The sequence below is a fragment of the Homo sapiens genome, chromosome 5 (genome assembly GCF_000001405.40).
Source record: "Homo sapiens chromosome 5, GRCh38.p14 Primary Assembly".
Taxonomy (NCBI): Eukaryota; Metazoa; Chordata; class Mammalia; order Primates; family Hominidae; genus Homo; species Homo sapiens.
Window position 1 is genome coordinate 125,101,080 of NC_000005.10, and position 22,316 is coordinate 125,123,395.

General features: G+C 37.2%; 1 long non-coding RNA gene across 1 annotated transcript in view; it reads left to right on the forward strand.

The window, feature by feature from the left end:
* Window positions 1-22,316, forward strand: part of LOC101927421 (uncharacterized) — a 330,904-nt gene that overhangs the window by 64,249 nt on the left and 244,339 nt on the right. The window lies entirely within an intron of this gene.

Sequence of the window (22,316 nt, forward strand, 5' to 3'; positions counted from 1 at the left end):
TTTTCCTTGGCTCTTCCTAGTCCCCAGAGTGTCTTCCTCCTTTCACTTCCTGTTTTATAGGAATTTCCCCTTGGTCATATTCTCCCATTGTCTCTAGGCTATGGATGGTAGTAAAACTTTATGATCCGAGTTTCCCCAGTTTGGCATTTACTACGTAGACCAATATTTTAGTATTTAGAAAAGCTTTCTTTCTCTTACTCCTCTGCATCCAGTCAATAACTGGAGTAGGAGTGGGAGGGAGTACCCTTGAATTGCAGCAAAACCCCTTCTAGGAATACTTCCCTAGGGAAAGGATACACTTCAAAATATGACAAAGGTATACAGTAAAAGACAAGCCTTTATCTGCCCACGTCCCTTAGGCAGTCAGCTACTCTTGACAGAAATAATCCCTTCTTGTGTCTTAGATCTTCACTTCCCAGGGGTGCTCTATGCCTTTACATGTTCATATATGTATTTTTTATTTTTAAGACAGTTTGTAACATACTGTGCACACTCTTCTGTATCTTCCATTTTTTACTTAATATTTATTTATCAGTATGTATCACTACCCATAGAGCAGTCTCATCCCTTGTAATGGCTGCATAGTATTCAAATATAATGAAGTAAGATGATTTACTTAACCGGACCCCAACTGGTTGTTTCTAGTTTTGTTTTTTTTTTTTTTTCTCGCAAACAATGCTGTAATGAATATCCTTCAATATAAGTTATTTTGAATATGTTCAGGTTAATCTGTAGAACAAATTTTTAGAAGTAAAATTGCTGGGTCAAATATATTTTTTATTATGATAGATATGGCCAAATTCTTTGCAACAGAATTTTTCTTACAGTCTTATCAACATAAACATGAATGTCTGTTTCCCTTTGCCTTTACTAAGAGATTGTAACTTTATTTTTGAGAGTGAGAGGTAAAAGATGGTGTCTCACAGCTTTCATTTGCATCTGTCTTGTTATGAGTGAAGTTGAACGTTGTATAAGTTTTTAAGAGCCTTTTGAATTTTCATTTGTTCTTATTCTCTTTTTATCAATCTGTTGATTTAGTAATTTTTTTTTTTTTTTTCTTGAGACAGAGTCTTGCTCTATCGCTCAGGCTGGAATGCAGTAGCAAGATCTCGGTTCACTGCAACCTCCACCTCCCGGGTTCAAGCCATTATCATGCCTCAGCCTCCAGAGTAACTGGGACTATAGGCACCCACCACCATGGCCGGCTAATTTTTGTATTTTTGATAGAGTCGAGGTTTCACCATGTTGGGCAGGATGATCTCGAACTCCTGACCTCAAGTGATCTGCCCACCTCTGCCTCCCAAAGTGCTAGGATTACAGGCCTGAGCCACTGTGTCCGGATGATTTAGTAATTTTTTAGGAACTCTTTATGAATTAAGAATATTGGCTCTTAATTTTGGGCATGCCATTTTACTTTTGAAAATTAGTTCGTCATTTGTTTATAATGTATTTTTATATGCAGAAAAGTTTTGTTATGTAGTCTGATTAATCAATTATCTATTCTTTCTTAGTTTTTGTGGCATATTAGAAAAGACTATACAACTCTGAGACTATAAAAATAATTCTCCTGGCTGGGCGCGGTGGCTCACGCCTGTAATCCCAGCACTTTGGGAGGCCGAGGCGGGCGGATCACGAGGTCAGGAGATAAAGACTATCTTGGCGAACACGGTGAAACCCAGTCTCTACTAAAAATACAAAAAAATTAGCCGGGCGTGGTGGCGGGCGCCTGTAGTCCCAGCTACTCGGGAGGCTGAGGCAGGAGAATGGCGTGAACCCGGGAGGTGGAGCTTGCAGTGAGCCGACATCACGCCACTGCACTCCAGCCTGGGTGACAGAGCGAGACTCCGTCTCAAAAAAAATAAATTAAAAAAAAATAATTCTCTCAAGCTATTTATTTACACTTCCATAGTATCATTTTTTATGTTTAAATATTTAATTCATCTGGTCTTTATTTTTGTGTAAGGGGCAAGATAGGGATTGAATTTTTTTCTAGATGGTTACCTAGTTGTATCACACCATTCATTGAATAATCCATCCTTTACCTTATTTGAAAAATAAATTTTATTATATATGCTATTATGTAATATAGTAACATGTCATATATTATATGGTATAATAAGATATAATATAACGTTTATTTTTGACTTTCTAGTCATTTTTTGATCTGTCTATATATTCATTTACCAGTATGACATAACTTTAAATATTTGTGTAATTTGTTGAAGAAAGTATAAAGTTGTGTTTTTTTTGGTTTATGATATTGTGTTTTGAACTTAAGTGATTAAAATTATTAACTAGAGCAAATCATACTTCACCTGGTAAGAAAATTACGAATGACAATAATGTTCTCAAAGAATAAAATTATAACACAGAACCAACTTAGAAATTAGTCTCATACATACATGTCATTGCTAAACAGTGAGCACGTGGCCCATGTCAAAAGTTGTCAGAGAGGTCTGACAAATATTAGTGTCTAAAGTGGCATTTAAGAGAACAGCAACTTGGCAATTGAAATGCTGTTTTAACAGGTACAATCTTTCCACTTGGAAGCATACTCCTGATGTTGATTTTCTTACCTGAGTAATGTGACTTACACTAGTGGCTCTTAATTAGATTGAGTCAGGGACTAAGTAACCAGAAGAATTTAGCACAGACATTAATCCTTTCTGGAGAATATTAGCCTGAGGCTGACAGTTTTTAGAAACAAGGTCAAATTCAGTAAAACATATTAGTACTACCAAGGTAAGAAAATAGAGAGGTTTCACTTTCTGGAGAAAACAGTATTACCACTGTATGCCATCAGCTCGTTTTTTTTTAATCAATTAAAGTTTTTATATCACATTTAGGTACAAAATAGTATACACATACAAATGTACACAGTACAACTCTATATTTGGAGTGAAATGTGAAAGTCCTCCCCTCCAGAGAGAGTGCCCAGAAAGAGTACCATGAGCACTGTTTGAGAATTCATCTATGAGAAATTTTTTATTTTTTATTTCATTAGTTTTGTTTTGCATCTTGATTATATTACTTAGTTTGTGGTGGATTTCTTCCCATGTCAACACATGGCTTTTTCATTTGTGTTAAATTTTGCATTAACAATTTTCTCTTTATAAAATTCATTATCAGTATTATAATTTTAAATTATAGAAATAAATTCTTATCACTAATTCAGCAAAACAAAACTACAATTAATGAAATAGAAAATACCTCTGAAAATTTTTATTTTCATTCATCAAATCTGCAAAAATAAATATGGAGAAATGGACATGGTAATACATTTCTGCATTTCTTTTTGGATAGTAATATAGTTAGCCCTTTTATAAAATAGAGAGCTGCCTGTTATTTGGCTGAGCCATCCCATTTTTGAGCATCAGCGCTGCATAGATCAAAGCCCCAGAATTCAAGGCCATACGTTGCAAGGCTTTGTATAGCAAAACTCTTCAGTGTAGCAAAAAACTGGAAATGATCTGAGGGTCCATTCATTATGTAATGATTGAATATATCACAGTCAACAATGATATAAAATACTAAACTGACATTTGAAAAGATATGTTTGTGCTATAGCTATTGAACTAGGTAGATTTTTAGGATGGACTTTTGAGAATAGTAAAAAACATGTAGTATAGTATGAACTTATTTTTTATTTCCCATGACAAACATCAAGAAACACTCATACACACACACACACACACACACACACAAATAATGTATTAGCCTAGTAAAATTGCCTATATCAATAGTGATATGACTATTATTAGTGATATGATTTGGTGATGTGATTACATTTTCCTTTACAATAATTTATGTACCATGATAAACAATTATGTATTACTGTTATTATTTTTAAAAGTGAACAAAGGACACTTAGTATGGAAAAATAAATGATTGGGATAACCAAGTTTTATAGAAAATACCTTTCTCTCTATTGTCATTTAAAGTTTAATAATTTTAAAAGGAGAAACTTTGAATGTTGGTAATAATATTCTAAGTGTCAGAAGTAATAATAATGGGGTACTATATAATGCTCACTAATACATTGCTTTTTTTGTTTAGGGATCTAGAATCTTATTTTGGTTTCTTTTTTTAATTATTTATTTATTTTTTATTATTATACTTTAAGTTCTAGGGTACATGTGCGCAACGTGCAGGTTTGTTACATATGTATACGTGTGCCATGTTGGTGTGCTGCACGTATTAGGAGATATACCTAATGTCAATGACGAGTTAATGGGTGCAGCACATTGGTTTCTTTATCACTTCTTTCCATAAAATCCCTGGAAGAGAGAGATGTTCAAAGAAGGCTAAGAAAAATATCTCCTGAGTTCACCTTACCACCCATAGCCTTCCTTTTGCCTGATCCAATGGAAGCCTAGAGAGCAGAGTCAAAGCAGCCTTAACACAGGCCATTATGACTTTTCTTTTTTTTTTTCTTTTTAATCTCTTTGAGAGATGGGATCTCATTTTGTCACCCAGGCTGCAGTGCAGTGGCGATCATAGCTCATTGTAACCTTGAATTCCTGGGCTCAAGGGATCCTCCTGCCGTAGCCTCCTGAGGAGCTAGGATTACAGGCATGCACCACCGTGCTCAGCTAATTAATAATTTTTTTTTTTTTTGTAAGAGATGGAGTCTCGCTATGTTGCCCAGGCTGACCTTGAATGCCTGGGCTCAGGCAGTGCTCCCATCTCAACCTCTCAAAGTGTTGGGATTACAGGCGTGAGCCACCTATTATGACATTTCTAAGTCTACAAGAGAGCATCAAGACTTAGCACTGTAATAGTACAAAAATGTGTCTTTGCCAGAATAAAGGAAACAGGACTAGAGAAGAGCACCATATAGGTTTATTTATACTTCTAGTGTTTCATCCACTGGAAAGCATGGCTGAACAGTGTCTCGATATTTACTTTATCAGATTAGTACTCTCACCTTTTGGAAGATGAGTTTCTTGCCCTTGATGCCCATCCATGCTTGAGCAAGAAAGAGGAAAAGAAAGGTAGGACTTTTGTTGCTTAGATGATTCAGGTTAAAAACTACACATAAAAGGATATAATCTATTAAAAATCGAAAGCAACGATTGATAAGAGATGGAAATTAATCTTCAGCTACTTTTTCAAACTTTGGGAGTTCATAAAAATAAAAGCCATATTTTTTTCCAGGCACTTTTTGGTTTCTCAAATCATCTGTGCTTCAAGGAGAATTTAGTTCATATGTCTTTAATTAATTTACACTTAACTCATCAAAATGTTGACTTGTTATTCCAGCTATTTGATGTCTCAGAAATCATACACACATTTTAATGTATGTTCAAAGGTCTTTCCCCCTTTTGGATAAGGCAGTCATCATTAGCTAGCAGTAAACAGAACCTGGAAGAGCTTAAGCCTGGTTCCAAATGAAAAACTAAGGAAATTCCAAGGGGTTTGAAACTTGGCAAATTACTTTTTACACACATGGTTACAAAATCATTAAAGTGATAAACATGAGAAATGACCAAAATACATCAAAATCATCACAAGCATAAATAGAGTCTCTAGAAAGCGAAGACATTACTCAGGAGATTAAAATACATATCATATTGAGTCTATGTGCCTTAAAGGAAAGAATGTCAAGGTCAGCACAAACAGCCCCACAACAACCAATCTGTATCAATTATTGTGCAGAAACCAGTAGGCTAATATTTCCATGAAAAAGGGCAAATGATATTCTGCAGAAGTTTTGGTGACCTTATGACCTTCTTTCCTTTTAGGTAAAACATACTAAACACACATATCCCTTAAAAAGCTCCTACATGTTTACATATGTAGGCTGGAGGTAACTTTTCTTTTCCCCTGGATTGGATATGTTTTTAGACCAGAATATTTGAATAAAATCTATCATGGATTAATGTTTGATTGTCTAGTTTTACACTTAGCTTAGAGCTTAAAGCATGAATTAAATCTGAGCCAATTCTCATGATACATAAGCACAGACTTTTACAGCCATTTGATCCAGGAACCAGGTGTTTCCTTACTGAAGAGAGGAAGGAGTTCAGAAACTGCAAACTACATAAGGTATTCTGGGGCCAAATCCCATGCTAGGACCAAAGGAACCAATTCATGTCCAAGAATGGACTGTAGAGCAAAGCAGAGGATTCAAGATTCAGAGAAATGGATCAATAGAAATAAGAAATAGAAATGAATCACCAGGCACATGAGATAGAAGTGGATCAATAGGAACATGAAGCTGGAGGAATTGGAGCACACAAGAGTTAGGAAAATGTTCTGTGGTCCTGTGGGGAGTGGAGAGGGCAGAGACCTAACTAGAGGTAGAAGAAAGTCCACTTTGGGGTAATCCTCACGATTGCTAAACTCCTTGAATACTTTGATTTGCTTTATGTCCAGGGATAAACCCAGAAAGTAACAGAATTATCAGGGACAGAAGGAAACATAGTAGTCATCTCAACCATGTTTGTAAATTCTGATCCTTCTCATTTTTATGAATATGAATGTTTGTGGCGCAGCCTGGATGGGTAACATTTTTACCTAGCTATATACCCTAGCTAGTGTCTGAGCTGGGAAGAGCAGCCAGAGGGTGTCTCCTTATTTCTGGTCCACTATTCTTTTTACTTCATCCCATCCCAAGCTAACTAATCATTTCCTTTTGCTTTTCTTTCTCTTCCTACCCCTCCTCCTTCTCCTCCTTCTAGTTTCTTTTCTCTTCCTTTTTTTTTCTTTCATTGCCTCATTTACTCCCACTCTAACTCAAGATTGAAGAGTAGAAGTGACAAAATGTCATGCCCAAAGCTCAACTGGAATTATTTTCAGAGGGGTCACAGCGAAGCATGTTTGTTTCGTGAAGTTCAAGCTTATTTTCAGCATATGGGTTCAAAGCTGTAAACCAATCTTGAACCTTGGGAGCTGTGAGTTGACAAGATGGGACAGTATGTCAAAGAAAATAGGTTCAGAAGACTTGTAGGATGTCAGTTCTCTTTTTAAAAAGAACATTTTGGTGAATTAAGTGTAAATGAGTCAGGAAACACACGGATTTTATTTCCCTTGCCATATGCGTGGGTTTAAAAATTAATGGAAAAAATTTCTTGGCACAACATATTTTGAATTTTATTTGCCTTTTTTCTCTTATGATCTCTGGAAGATGGAAGCTGAGGAATGATGAAGACAATGGAATCAAAGGCAATTGTGAGTTTTACATGTTTATATAACACATGACACTTAGATTGAGCGGTAAGAACATCTAGTCTGAGAGCTTCCATTTTGAAAGCATTATATTTTTAGTGTTTGACCTCATTACATTACTGAAAGAAATATCCTAACAGGTATTTATCTGAATTAATTTTGTGGAAATCAGGGGCTGGACTGTGAGGAATCCATTTTACTGTAGGGAGTGTGATGCTTGAGTAAAGGTATGTAATTGGGCAATTAGAATAAAAGAGATAGTGAACTGCTTTAAATTTTTAAGGCTTTCAAAAAAATAAAACAATCTACTGGATGGTCTTTCATATGTAACATTTTATCTGTCTCAGACATTTTACCTTGCAAAGTATAACTAGGATCTTTGTAGAATTTTGATTATTTCTATCAAGAAAAACAAAAAAATATGTCAGGATTCTCTGAGTCTTTTTAATTTTTTTCTTTTTGGCCAACTCGATGGGGGGACATTTGACAATTATTCCATTGGCATTTTGGAGTACTTAGTCAAATTATCCTATTTGTTGTAGAAATACTTGTAATTAGCTAAATAAATCTCAAATGTTTTCTACAGGCAGTTTCTACAATCATCTCTTTTTTCAAACTTGTATTTGTTCCCTGATTTGCCCAGGAACTTCCAAGAGAATATACAAGTTTAAGTAAATTGTCTCTAGTTAGTTTGTGGTTTGGCTTTTAAAAACCCTAAAATGATTTAAATCAAACCATTTCAGACACTAGAATTGGAAGAAATCAGAACAAAGATATGCTTGTAATTTTATTAAAATGATAGGTTGGTCAGGACAAAAATACTCAACACTATTGAGTGCCAAGATGGAGTGTACTTAGAATAGCCTGCCTATTGATGGGGCCAGGCCATGTCACACAGCAAGAGCACTTTACATGGCATCAGCACATCTGTCCTTAAATATGTGACTTTTTTGTGTGTTGTTCTATGTATTCTAAATAGAAGGAAAACTGGGCTACATTTCAAAATTTAAATATGGTACATGAAAGGCTTTGTTCACATTTAATTAATTTACTGTTTATGTGCCATATGTTTAATCAGACACTGCTTCTATCCTACATGGAGGTAATGGGTAGGAATGAGGCATAAAGTTTTTTTTCCCCTCTTCTAAAAGTAAAAGGTACAAATTGAGATGATTTTCTAAGAAATGCCATTCACAATGACAAACTCATATGGCCACTGCTGTGACACAAGCCCTTAAATGATCACTTCATGGCTCATTAACTCTCAGAACTGTAAAGATAGGTAGGACCTTCAGCTCCAGAAGACAATACTTCAATTATTTTCAAGTGCAACTTTCCTCAGATATACTGCCACACTGCCTTGCCAACACTGTTTTGTTTAGAATTTCAGATCAGGTTTATTTTTAAAGTTATTAATAAAAAAATAAGAGACACTCTTAATTTAAACATGCAAACTTAAATCATGAAAATGTAGATTCGATAATTTTTAATGCAACTTGATCTATAGATAAGTAGACACCTTTTAGGATCACTCTGTTCAGGGGAAATAAAATTCACTTTGCGCATATGCCAAGTGTATGTGCCTTTGGGAGAGGAAGGAAGAGCCATTTTTACCATATGAAGTGAGCATGTGTTTTTCTTACTTTTGCTGCTCTGCTGTTTTTGCCATATTTTCTGAGTTCAAGTCTCTAATCAGTTGGTGGAAGTGTAGATTTAAAGACATTTATTTTGGAAAACATGTTCTGCTAAAAGTTTGTAGTAATGTAAGCCATTTAATTCTAAAATTGGCAGCTGAAACTAACACTGTGCTCACATAAGCAACTACTCAAGTGTTTTAGTCTAAAGCATTTTGGAACACCAAAGGCCAGGACATAATTTTTGGGTCTGCACACTTCTGAAAGTGAAAGCACCACAGCCAGGGGCTTATCTCCAATGCCGCAAAATTGGAGCCTGAGGAAAACTCTTATGTGCCTCTCCTATTTGCAGTATATCCCACCTATACGAAAAGAGAGCTCCTCTCCTTTCACTTTTAAGGAAAATAAGAGGAAATATAAGAGCGTAATTCTTGGCCTCAGCAGTTGTCTTGGTGTGGTATGTGTGTGTGGGGAGGCGGGGGCAGGGAGTGATGTATTTTGTAGAGGGGACAGGCCAAGCCGTAGGTGAGAGAGGTAAAGAGGCCTCCCTTTGAATGGGATACACATAGTGGGCTCAAAGTAGGATGGGATCCCTCCTCAATTCTCCCCAAAGGGTGGGGCAAAGGAGTTACATCTACTCCTTTGCCCCTGGTTTGTTCAGTGAAAAGATGTCAGGATAATGGTTAAAAAAACTCTGAAACTATAGGGAATTAGCCATTTTTAAAAAAGCATCTACCATAAACTAGGTACTGTACCAGGCCTTTTAGATTGATTTCCCATTGCACAAAATTCCTCAAGTAGGTATTGTGTTGGGTGCATAATATAATGGATGAAAAAACATGCCGAGAATTTGGCCAACTTGTCAGTCATGCAACAAGGTGGTAGCACCTGGATTTGTGCAATGGAGTCTGACCCCATTCACCATCCCTCTCTCTATCATGATCCAGATAAAATGATGACACAAATTGTGGAGAAGCAAATCTGAGAGAGGAGAGAGGTGGGCCACGGGAAGAGAGAGAGTAAATGAACAAAGTTATATTCTAGTTGAGGGGTGAATATTGCCATGCTACTAATTAGATTATATTTGTCCTAAATCCTTGATGTATGGTAGAGTAATGAATGCACACCATTTTTAAAACAATATTGCCATATTTCACAATGGCTGAAAGTCTACCCTCCCCCAACAGGCATAGGCACATATTCATAGAGTCTTTTCTGCCAACTAAGTGCAACGGTTGTCCAGGTTAGACAATTTTGAGTCATGCTCAATGTCACCCTCTCCTTGACTTGTTGTGGCTCATTTTGCCCCAGTTCCACCTGACCCTTTCCTGTTTTCCCCCATTTCAGTGCAGGGTCCCACCAACCATTCTGTCGCACAAGCCAGGAACCTAGAATTTATCAGATTCTCCCTTTCCTTTCATGCTCAATCCTTTACCCACTTCTGTCCATTTTCTCTCCAGAATATCTCTTGAATCTGTCAGCTTTTTTCCATCTTTACCATACCACCATTATCTGGACTTCTATGATAACTCTGTACCTCTGACTTCGAATCCATTTTCCTCAAAGCAGGCATAAAATTCTGTTAGTAATGCAAATCTTATCTCATCAGTCTCTGCTCGAAATCCTTCAGAGACGGTTAGGATCAAGACAAGAATCCTTATTCACACAGCCTGGGAGGCTTTGCACAGGCTGGCCTCATTTCTCTTTCCATTCTCATTTCAAAGGACTTTCTCTTCCTCTCTTTGGTTCAGCCATCTTGACCTTGGAGTTGCTCAGACAAGCCGTGCTCTTTCCTTGCCTCATGGCCTTTGGAAATGCTTTCCAGGCTGGTTTAAATGGTCTCTCCCAAATCCCTCTCTTCTCCCATGTCACTTTGAGCTTACCCTTTAGCTAGCTCAGCTGCCTCTTCCCAGTCAACGAGCTATCTTTCTATACATCCTCGCATAGAACCTGTTCTTCCCCTTTAACACACCTAACAATGGTGATGAAATTCTTGCTTTATCCCTTAAGGTAAACTCTATGAGAGCAAAGGCCAAATCTGCCTTGTTTAGTACTCTATATATAGCACATAGCAAAAGTGTCTTTAATATATTAGGTAGCCAATACATTTTGTTGAATGACAAGATGAATGAATACCTCCTCTATCACCCTCAAGTAAAGCAGAGCATGGGTCATCTTAGAACCAGATCTGACAGTGGGTTCATTGAAGGCAGCCACTATGTCTTTTTTCTCATTATCCTTAGTGGCTAGCATGATTTCTGGTAGATTCTCAACAGTAAGCTTACTGAATGCACAAACTACATATTTGCTGGGGAGGCAGAATGTTGTTTTACCATGTGAGACCTGTTTTATCTTCTAGGCAAATTAGGAAGCTCCATGACATAGCTTTATATTAAGCAGATTCCTCTTGTATGAGTCAGGGTTCTTAAGAGAAACAGAATCAATAGAAGATATAGATGTGTGTGTGTATCCTAAGGAATTGGCTCTCGTGGTTATAGAGGCTAAGTCCCATGATATGCCATCTGCAAGCTCTTTAGCTCTCAGGCCTTTGAACTACACCACAAGCTTCCCTGAAAGAGTCAGTGATATAGATTTCACTCAGAATCTGAAGGCCTGAAAACCAAGAGTGTCAAGAGCAGAAGAACAATGTCTCAGTTCAAGCAGTCAGGCAGAGAGTAAATTCGACCTTCCTCTGCCTTTAGGTCCTTCACAGATTGAAGGATGTCCAGCCACACTGGGGAGTGTGACCTGGTTTACTCAGTTTAACAATTCAAACGCTAACCTCTTCTAGAAACACCCTCAGAGACACATCCCATAATAATGTTTAACCAGATATCTGGGCATCCTGTGGCTCAGTCAAGTTGACACATACAATTATTCATTGTATCTCTATAGTCAAATATGCATCTCATACTATTGAATCTGAATATTTGACTTTCACTGTATCTCAGAAACCTTTCAGGATTCTAGCAATTGAGATTCTTGTCTACTCCAAATCTTATAGATCATTTGTGATCTTACAGTTGTGGGAAAGCTCATGGAGGCAGTTCAGTGACTCCAATAAATATCACCCATAAATTCTCCATAACATAGTTCACATTGCCCAACTTAAAATTACTGCAGAGATGCTTAGAGGTATATAAAACTCAAAGATGCATAGATAGAAAGATATGGCAGGCTTTGTAAAATGTAATAACATAACCTAAAGACTTTAAAAAAACAGTTATGGTTAAATTCAATAAGCTTGATATATTTCTTTTACCTACCTATGAACTATTTATATATTTATGTAATTATTTTTTGCCTTGAACTTTTAAAGTGAAAGCTGTGCTCAATTAGTATTAGTTATGTGACATTCTAATTCTTCAATATGACATCCAAAGCCAGTGTGTTTTCCAGAGATAGCAAATACACTTAGCAATTACCCTGATCAATGGAAGTACTCTAGTTAAAAATGTTCCATAATAAAAGACAAATTACACACAAAGATAAATGATTCGTATGAAATGAGAGTTATGTCTTAAAGTCATGTGCCTCTTCTGTAAATTATTTGCCAAGTTGTTGGTGTTTAGAAAGTTAAAGCATGATGTTCGATTCTGGTGGTTTGCTGTGTCATCCCAAAGTTAGCATGTTCCTAAAGAAGATAGACTGAGTCACTTTGTTAAGTGCCCTTAAGTTTCTGTTCCTCAATTTGCTCTTTTATGTGGTACTGATAAAAAACTCTTTGGACATATTTCATTGACCAGTTATGCCCAGCACTCTATCACTTACTGTAGTCTAGCACAATGACTATTTGAGAGAAGTGCAATACAAAAAATATGAGTATCTCCTCATGTAGCATTATGCATACAATCTCATTACTATTATTTTAAGTGCAAGTAAGAAAAAAGAAAATAGACACTTCAACTTGATCAAATCTATTAGTTAATTACAGTGAAAGAAAAAGAGGAAGGAATCAGTGCAAGAAAGAAAGACATTATTTCAGTGGAGTCAATATAATGAATTGAAGGTACTAGCTACGTTTAAAATGCCATAGAGTCGGCCCTGAAATAAAAGCCAAAATATTTGCTTAACAGAATTAAAACTATTGAATAACAGTGCTCCCATTTTTGTTCTTGAATGACAGAGTATTGTTTGAGACCTACATAAGTTGCCATTGGCAATCATCATTTGTGCAGTTTAAAATCTGAGGACTCTAGCGGCAGATACCATGGTAAACAATAAAATTTTTTTTCATGATACATTTTTATATTTGAAACAATTTCTGTGTTATCTGTTTTATTTTATCAAGAATCATATTTCTTTATTCAGCCTTCAAATTTAATTATTAAGTACTTACTGGATTATAAAGATTTTAAGGTTAAAAAGCCAGCAGACTTTATAGATTCTATACATCATGCTTCTTATTTGTAAAACTCAGGACACTGGTTGACCTGACTTATTGCAATTTGGCATTAATTTCATCTTTGTGCCATTACTTGAGTTGTGGTTTCGAATGACTGCTTAACTGTTTTTTTTTTTTTTTTTTTTGAGGTGTGGGGAGTCTTGCTCTGTGGCCAAGGCTGGAGTGCAATGGCACAATCTTGGCTCACTGCAACCCTCACCTCCTGGGTTCAAGTGATTCTCCTGCCTCAGCCTCCCAAGTAGCTGGGATTACAGGCACCCACCACCACACCCAGCTTATTTTTGTATTTTTAGTAGAGGCAGGGGTTTCACCATGTTGACCAGGCTGGTCTTGAACTCCTGATCTCAGGTGATTCGTCTGCCTAGTTTCCCAAAGTGCTGAGATTACAGGCATGAGCCACTGTGCCCGACCATTAACGATTAACTTTCTGTGTGTATCTTGTATCCCCAGAAAAAATCAAGCTCTTTGTAGTTTCCAGCACGTGAAAAACAGCAAAATTTGAAGGAATCTATTTAGTGGGTTCTATTACTGCCATTATATCCTTTGAGATTTTTGATTCTGATCTTTTTTATCTGAAAAATAAAGATATAAAAATCTTTGTCATTGCTTTAGACAGGTTTTGTATATTTGCTGCTAATATAAACTCTCTGTGCACATTTTATGGGCTAGTGACGCCCAGTGCTCTACCATTTACTCTATTCTTGTACAATGACAATTCGAGAGAGATGACACAATATGAGTAAATATTTGTAAGTTCTATGTGAGTTCAAAGATTGAGAAGTATTTTCTCCTGAGTCAAGTTCAAGGGCAACCACTTTTTTGCATTCTTAGGATCAGGACCAGGTTTTGCAGCTGACTTTTCAGACAGAGGATCATTAAACAAGAGATTCCTCATGGTGGATCTTTGCGGTTCAAATACATGATTGGTTTCAAGCATTCGTGTTCCAGAGGTGAACCTTCTTCATGGCAGATGCAGACTGGCTTCCATGTGCCTGTTTCCCTCAGCTGCTGTTCTCTGATCTGTGGCTGTGCTTCTCTTCTGTCATTATTTTCCTGGCTCTGACAAAATGACAACCACTCTTTTGGATTCCTCCACATGCTCAACCACCGTGTCCAAATTCTGCTGCTTCAACACTGCTGCCTGATATGCCGTGTCCGGAACTGCATGCAGGCTAATGTCATTTTGCATTTGGCGTCTTTGGGAAATTTCAAAGTCACTGATCTCTTCTGCAAACATGTCTCTAATTATTTCTTTGTGGCTTGCTCTAAAATTACATTTCACAGCCAGTGCATGATCACGATTCAGAAAAGTTTCCATTTTCTCTTCCCAGCCTGGTTTCGTTGGAGAAATCTGGCCTTTTTGAATGCCTTTGGCAAGGAAACCTTTTTTAGATTTCCCATAATCATCAGGTTCCTTTTCTCTTCTAAAGGTGAAAGAATTTATGCTGGCCCTAGGCTTGTTAACATAAAGTAAATACAGCAGATCTTTTCAGAGGTCTTTGTGATTGTTCTGCATGAAATTCTTGCCTCTACCTGGACACCAGTGGAAACTGGAGAAGTGCAGATGGGCGAGGGGATAGGAGGGAATTCTTAGCCCATGGAAGAAATGTCCAGGAGGCATGGGCTCTTTCCCTGTCTTTTCACAACAAGGTACTGTCTGTCCTTTATCTCTCTTTTCTCCTCCTACTTTTCTTCCCTCCTTTCCTCAATGTTTATTTTTCTTTTGATTTTTTTTTTCTTTTTCACAAATCTGGGTATGGGCATCTTCCTCTGATGAAACAGGGCTCCTCTCAGGAGGTTGAGTTGCGGTCACCCAGGTTGAGGTCTCCACAAGAATTAGAAATGGCATCCTCACAAAGGAGATACAATTTTCCTTGAATTAGGACAAGTGAATTGATCCTGAGTTTCAAAATTAATATGGTATGTGACAACAAACTTTTATTAGACAAACAACGTGGTTTTCATAAGACAAATAGGGGCTTCTTTAGTTTGCAAACTGTTTCATTATAAAGAACTAAACCCCCAAACCCTGGTAATTCACTGAGCATGGGTTAAAGACGTTGTATCCAAACTTTTTCTTTTTCCTGGAAAAAAATATCTTGTTTTGTGTAATTAAAATCCAAGTCATAGACCTTGTTTCCATTTTTAGATGAATGCCCACTTATGCTACATGTCCATGTGTGTAGACCCATCACATTTTAAAAGATTACGAATAGAACTCAGGTCTAAAAGTAATTACAGCAATAAACATAGCAGGAATTCAAGACTCCCTGTTTACCAAAACACTTCTTATAATCTCAAATTTGTGTTTCTGTATGTGTACCAGTTCCAGCTGGCAATCTCTTATACAGGTGTTTGCCTCTGGCTTTTGTACCTGAAGATCTCAAATCACATTCACAACCAAACCTTATTTGACTTCCTGTTATATTCTGAAAAAATAATTATATATCAACTTCTATAAATTTTTGTAAAATATTTCTATGCTATTTAAAAAATAAAAATATATTAACCTTCATATGCTTAACGAAGTAATTATATCTAGAAAAAATTAGCTATGGAGATGTTCATATATTTCATAAGGCATGTTCATAACTCTTACAGAATTAAATGGTCTTATTTATGGAGTAAAGATATTGTGATTGGCAGATACATATATAGCTCTAATATGTGTATAGCTCAGTAAATGCTATATATATAAGTGCTATAATACATGTATAGTTCAGTCGCTACAAATGTAGTTTATTACATTTTCTCCAATACTTTTCCACATTTAAATATTAGGCAATCTATCATGACAGATCAGTAATACTGTCTGGTATATAAAATTTGCCATCAGTATCTTATTTCAACCAGAAAAATTCATCCACTATTATTAACTCACCACAATTACTTAGAGGTGGTCTTTTATCAAAAGATTAAATGCATGTTTCCTTAAGTACTTAGCATAGCGCCTTGTACTTAGTAAATTCTCTATTTGTGTCAGTTTTTATTATTTTTATTTAAGTCAGTTGATCTCTATTGACAGTAAATGACAGAAACCAAATCAAACTAGCTTAAGGATTACAAGGCTTTTATTGGCTTATGAAAAGTTTTGGGCACTGGCTTCAGGCACAGCCAAATTCAGGTGGTCAGTAATGGCAATCTGTTTTTTTCCATGTCTCTACTCTTCTTTCCTCTGGGTTGACATGTTTCTGAGGCAGGCTTTCTCTGCTAAGATGTCTGCCAGTACTTCCAGGTAAATATCCAATGATCTTCAAGAACAGTAGGTAGAGAGTTTCTTTTTTCTTATAGTTCTGGTAAGGGCTTCAAATGTGAGTCTCATTAGTACTACTTAGACTGGCTTATACACTTAATCATCCATGAGTGCTGAGTGATCATGGATGACCAGGGCAGCCGGAATTTCGGTTAGCCAGGCCTGGGCCACATTTCCCAGCAGCACCAGAACCATAAGGAGAGAGAGCATGGGAATCAGAAAGCGGATGCATGCCAGCCTGGCAAAAAGAAAACAACAGATGTCCCCAGTCTTACTTCACGCATCCCCCAAACATTTCCTGAGTCTCTGCTGCATTCTCTGCACTGACTGTGGACGAGCAAGAGAGGGTGTGCGTGACTGGGAATGGGGAACAGGCACAGCAGGACAGGAGAGATCCAAAAGTAAAAGACCTCATTTCTCTCCTCAATGGAGAGACATCTGTAGACTCTAAAAACAATCAGCAAAAAGGACTCTGTGATGAACTCATTGATATAGGTGGTCAAAATTCAGAGCAGGAGGAAACACTATAATTGGAGAACTAAGAGAAAGTGCTTCAAGCGAGGGTCTTGGTTGATGACCAAATGTAAATGGGTGGAGGAGAGGGCAGAGTCTTCCAAGAAGTTGGTGGAATGTTTGCAAAGGCCCATGGCTTTGATGGATGGAGTGTGTTGGTGAAACAGGAGAGAGCTAGGCTAGTAGCCTGGATATGTTGTGCTGTGGGGGAAAGGCAGGTCATGGTGGATGTGAGAAGGAAGCAGTCCATGAGGTGCCTGAATGGCAGATGGAGCAGTGCAGGCAGGAACCAATAAAGAGAGGCAAAGTTGTGATGGTAGATTTCACATATATTAGGAAGCTGAATCTGATAACAAGCTGCAGGATGTCTTAGAAGGAAGGAAGACAGCAGCTCACTAGAGTCGTGTGGAGGCTACTGCAGAAAGTGTGCAATAAAGTGACGGACTGAGAGGGGCATGAGGCTGTGGGGAAAGAGAAGAAATGATACTGTTGAGAGAAATTTCAAAGGGAGAATCAGGAGGCATTTGAGGAGCTAGGGGGAAATAGAGGAGACAAGGGAAAATGACTCTTAAATTGTCAAGCCCAGGCTCCAGGAAATGGAGGAATCATTACAATGTAGTGATAACAGCAATCATTTCATAGTATTTATGGTGCTTTTCTTAGTGGTATTCCCCATCACTGTACTATAGCTATTTACATGCATGACTTTTTTTTAAGAATGATGTCTAATTCATCTTTGTCTCTTTAACATGAAGTTTGGTGTTTTACATATGAGTGAGTCAATGCATATCTAAAAAAGGAGAAACTGATTCCTTAGGAGGTAAAAACTTTTTCATCAAGTAAGTTAGTGATAGCACGGCAACGAGGGTCGTCTTCTCAGTAACTACCCGGTATTCTCTTCTCTGTAATCGTATACTGCTATGGTTCCTCTTCTTCGGGTAGAAGCGTATTTCTCCAGTATGAACAGCCTGGCAAAAAGTTGAAGTAGGCGTCCATGTTCTGTCACACATAAGCTTACTGTGTATTTCCAGATTATACAATTTGCCTAGGATCTCTTTCAAAGTTAGAGCATCAGAAGCAAGTCTCCTTTCTGACTCCTTGAAATTTTTGATGTTTTCCGCTTAGTTCAGTAATTTTTAAAAATTTCTGAGACTGAAATTTTTCAAACCAAACAAAACCTAACAGGTAGACCTAGGGTAGTGCTACAACAGATGGCAAATAAGTAAATGGTGAAACTTTCTGCAGTGTTTCTCAAGGTGTGGTTCCGAGACCAGCAGCATCAGCATCACTTGGGAACTTAGTGATGCAAATTCTTGGGCAGTATCCCAGATCTCCTGACTTAGAAATGTGAAGATGGGGCCCAGCAATCAGCATCTTAATAAGTCCTCCAAGTGATTCTGATTCATTGAAGTTTGAGAATCATTGGTCTATGGCAGCATCCCCTCAATGACGTCTTCAAACCTTTGATTTTTATACTCGATCTTGTATCAGAATCATTGGGAGGGTTTGTTAAAGCACTGATTGCTGGCTTACTCTTCAACATTCTGATTCAGGAGTCCTGAGAATTTGCATTTTTAACAAGTTCCCAAGTGATGTTTATGCCGCTCACCTGGGAACCATGCTTTGGGAACCACTGTATTTGGTGTCAGATCACAATAGGAAACCTCTTGGGAAGCTCGTGTTTTTTAAACAAAGATCCCTCCTAAATGCCCTTGAAATTGGCTTTTGAAAGAGCTGTAAATTTTTTGTTGAATATATGTGTATGTAGAACACAGTGACTCTGCCTGATCTAATGTGTATTGCTGTGAAATATCAAAGCCATTTGCTGGGTAGTCCCAGTGAAATTAACGAAGAAGGCACAACATTGAAGATTCATACTTCTTCCCTATAAGCACTGATGTGTGGTAAGTTGCAAAATTAAGGTTGAAGCATTACTGAAAAAACCCAGGGCTGAAAACTCCCTTCTGATTTCAGATTCAGTTTAATAGAATGCTGCCTCGGCACAAACCTATAATCTGTTTCCGAACACCAATTTGTGTATAGCAGGAGATCACATCGGTGAAGAAGCACCGCATCTCCTTATCAGGAGAGACTAATTGAAAGCTACAATTAGCTGGATAGTAAACGCCAGGAATTCTGAATCACAATCACAAGGTAGCTTGCATTTGGCACCCTAATGTATGGGGGCAGTGACGGTCACTGAGGGAAAGAGATGAGATTCTCTGCCTGCAGGAATTGAGGCTCTTGAATGTAAATGGGTAAGTGCTGCAGATTTTCTTTTCCTGTACTCACACACCCCCATACTCAAATTTAAATTCAAGATTGCTGAGATGGAAGATGGGGAAGGAAAATTGGCAATGTAGGAATGGCCAGGATGTTTGATGAGTGTGCAACTCTGGGTTCGGTTTTGCTTCTTTCATCATTGGGATGCAGGCTCAGTGTATGATTAGTATATCTCCAGGGTAATTTGAATTTCCTAGAATGATTTTGTGAAGCAATGTCCTCTCCTGACCTCCAATCCTAAACTGCCTTTGAAAGCTTTATTTCTTTGGGGAAAGGCATTAGCTCTTCAGGAATTTCATGAACATTCTCACACATGGCTTTTTTACATCATTAGAATGTTATTCATTTGTGTATTTGTTTGTTTATTCATTTGCCCACTCATTTATTTAGTAAATATTTATGAAACATTCATTACATTTCTGGCGTCATTCTGGGAATATGAGGAATGGTTTCCACCTCTGGGCCTCACTATCTCATCACCATATATGGCTTTTTTAAAAAAAAAACTACTTTCTTCATTGTGTATTCCTGGTCAACAACCTACAGTATTAAATATATTAATATAACATGCCTGAAGAGATGAAATTTTACCTTTAAAAGTTGGAGAGAAATAATTTGAAAATTGCTACTAGTTTTCTGCTTCTAAAGATGATAACATGAACTTCCTTTTATAATAGGTTGTCTTTTTTTTGCAAAAGTATCCCACAGTCTGATTTTTTTCATTCATTGATTTTAAAAAAATGTATTGAGCAACTATTCTATGTTGAGCATTGTTCTAGATCCTTGGAATTCATTAGTGAACAAAACAGACAAGATCTCTGCCCTTGTGGAGGTCACATTTAGATGGGGGAGAGAGACAATGCTGTAATAATTAAGTTATGTGATGTCTTAGACAGCGATATGTGCCCAGGGAAGGATGTTCAGGTAAGGGAGGGGACAGGGAGCACCAGGGTGTCCTGTAGATCTGAATACATAGCATATATGCCCATGCTGTTTTTGAACAAAATATTTATTTATTCTTATTTTAGGTTTGGGGGTATATGAGAAGGTTTGTTATAGGTAAACTTGTTTCTTGGAGATTTGTTGTACAGATTATTTCATCACCCAGTTATTAAGCCCAGTACCCAATAGTTATATTTTCTGCTCCTCTCCCTCCTCCCAACCTCTACCCTCAAGTAGACTCCAGTGTCTGTTGTTCCCCTCTTTCTGTTGAACAAAATCTTTAAACTCATCATCACCCTGAAAGCAGCTGGTTACCTTGAAATGTTATTTGTAGTATTGCAAAGTGGATGTTTCTTTAAATTTAGACACCATTTCCTTTTAAAATATATATTTAGACTGGACTCACCTTAAACTTGTTTGTTTTTGGGAGATGTGTGTGAGGCCCCAGCACTCCAGCAGGAAATGTAACCTGTATTATTTCATTTATAGACAGGATTGTGAGAAGGATCCAAGGTGGACTTGGTAGAGAGTCCTGTCTGGATGGGGCACCAGGCCTGGTGAAATTCAGCATAGACGATTCCAGAGCTTGGGAATGTGGTACTGTGGAGACCTATCTCATCCTTTTGATTTAAGTAGGGACGAATTTTCCCTCTGAAAAAACTGAAAATTCCTACCTTGGTCAGGAAATGGGAGGGCCTTTTATGGAGAGGTAGGAAGAACCACTTTTCTTCCGCGGCAGCATGTATCAGGGGCCTTCATTGTGAGGTTCAATGATACCTTGTTTTACATGATGGTGATGTCTGAGCACAAATGTAGGTGATAGAATGGTAGAATTTTTCTTTTACATGAGAATCTATTTCTAACCAATAGCCATTATAATATCTAAATATTAAACACTTGAGGCATTTCCTCAAACTGGAGTAAAATAAGGCTGCTCATTTTCGTCAGTATTCCTTGTTACAGTTCTAGAAGTTTTGACCTACACAATAAGACATGAAACAAAGATAAAAAGTATAACTAATACAAAAGAGGATTATTACCTAGAAATGTCAAAAATAATTAGCTGAAAGATCTTTGTGATTTGTAAGACTCAGCTAAGTGCCTAAATACAAGGTAAATATCTAAATACCTAGAGAATTCTATTACACAAATATTATGCAGTTAGAAAATATAGTGAGAAAAAAGAAATTTCATTGATAATAAAATGAAAACCACAGATCTTCTGGGAATTGCATTTCTAAGAAACTTCTATCCAGAAAGTGATAAAAAAAAAAACTATTCTAAGTAATATGAAATAATTGAATAGATAGAAAGCCAAACAGTAGTTCAGGATTAGGGGAAGCAGAGTTGCTAAATGATGCAGATTCATTAGTTTATCTCACATTAAGGTATAGGTTTAATGCAATTACATTCAGGAGATTGCAGTATAAACCTTTTGTTATTTCTATAGCACTCAGAACAGTGCAGGATGCAATATAAGAACTTAATTCAACACAAATTAATCACATTTTCATGAAGCAGGAAATAGACAACGAAGTGAATGCATGATCTATATTTCTACACTTGTGCCTCTGCTCCCATTTTTCCTCCATTTGGAATGCCATCCACCATCCACCTTGGCCATCTCAAACTCACTTCCACTAAAGGCCCAGCACAACACATCTTCCCTGAACTACTAAGCCTACAACACTTTGGAGCTTCTTAGTACAATGGTACTGAACTAAGTGGTACTGTGAGTACCATTCTTCTGATGCATCTGAAAACTGGGTGCCCTGTCTTGTATTACTTACTATCATGGTATTTGTAAAAAGCATCATGTAGTATATAAGAAGTATTAAAGCGTGCGTGATGATGATATAACCAGCTTCAGGATAGCGTTTACAAATGGTGAGGGAGAAAAGAGATTTGAATTAACTACGGCAAAACGTCAATCTGGATGTGGGCACATGGATGAGTGTAAATATTCAATACATAGCTGTTGATTATTAAACTATCATTGGCAAGAGCAGTGATATACATCATTTGTAGGTGGACAGTCATTAGCTTTAAATATGAAAAACTCTCTTCAAATATAACCAAAGCAAAATGTAGAATTGATCATCAAATGGTTTTAAAA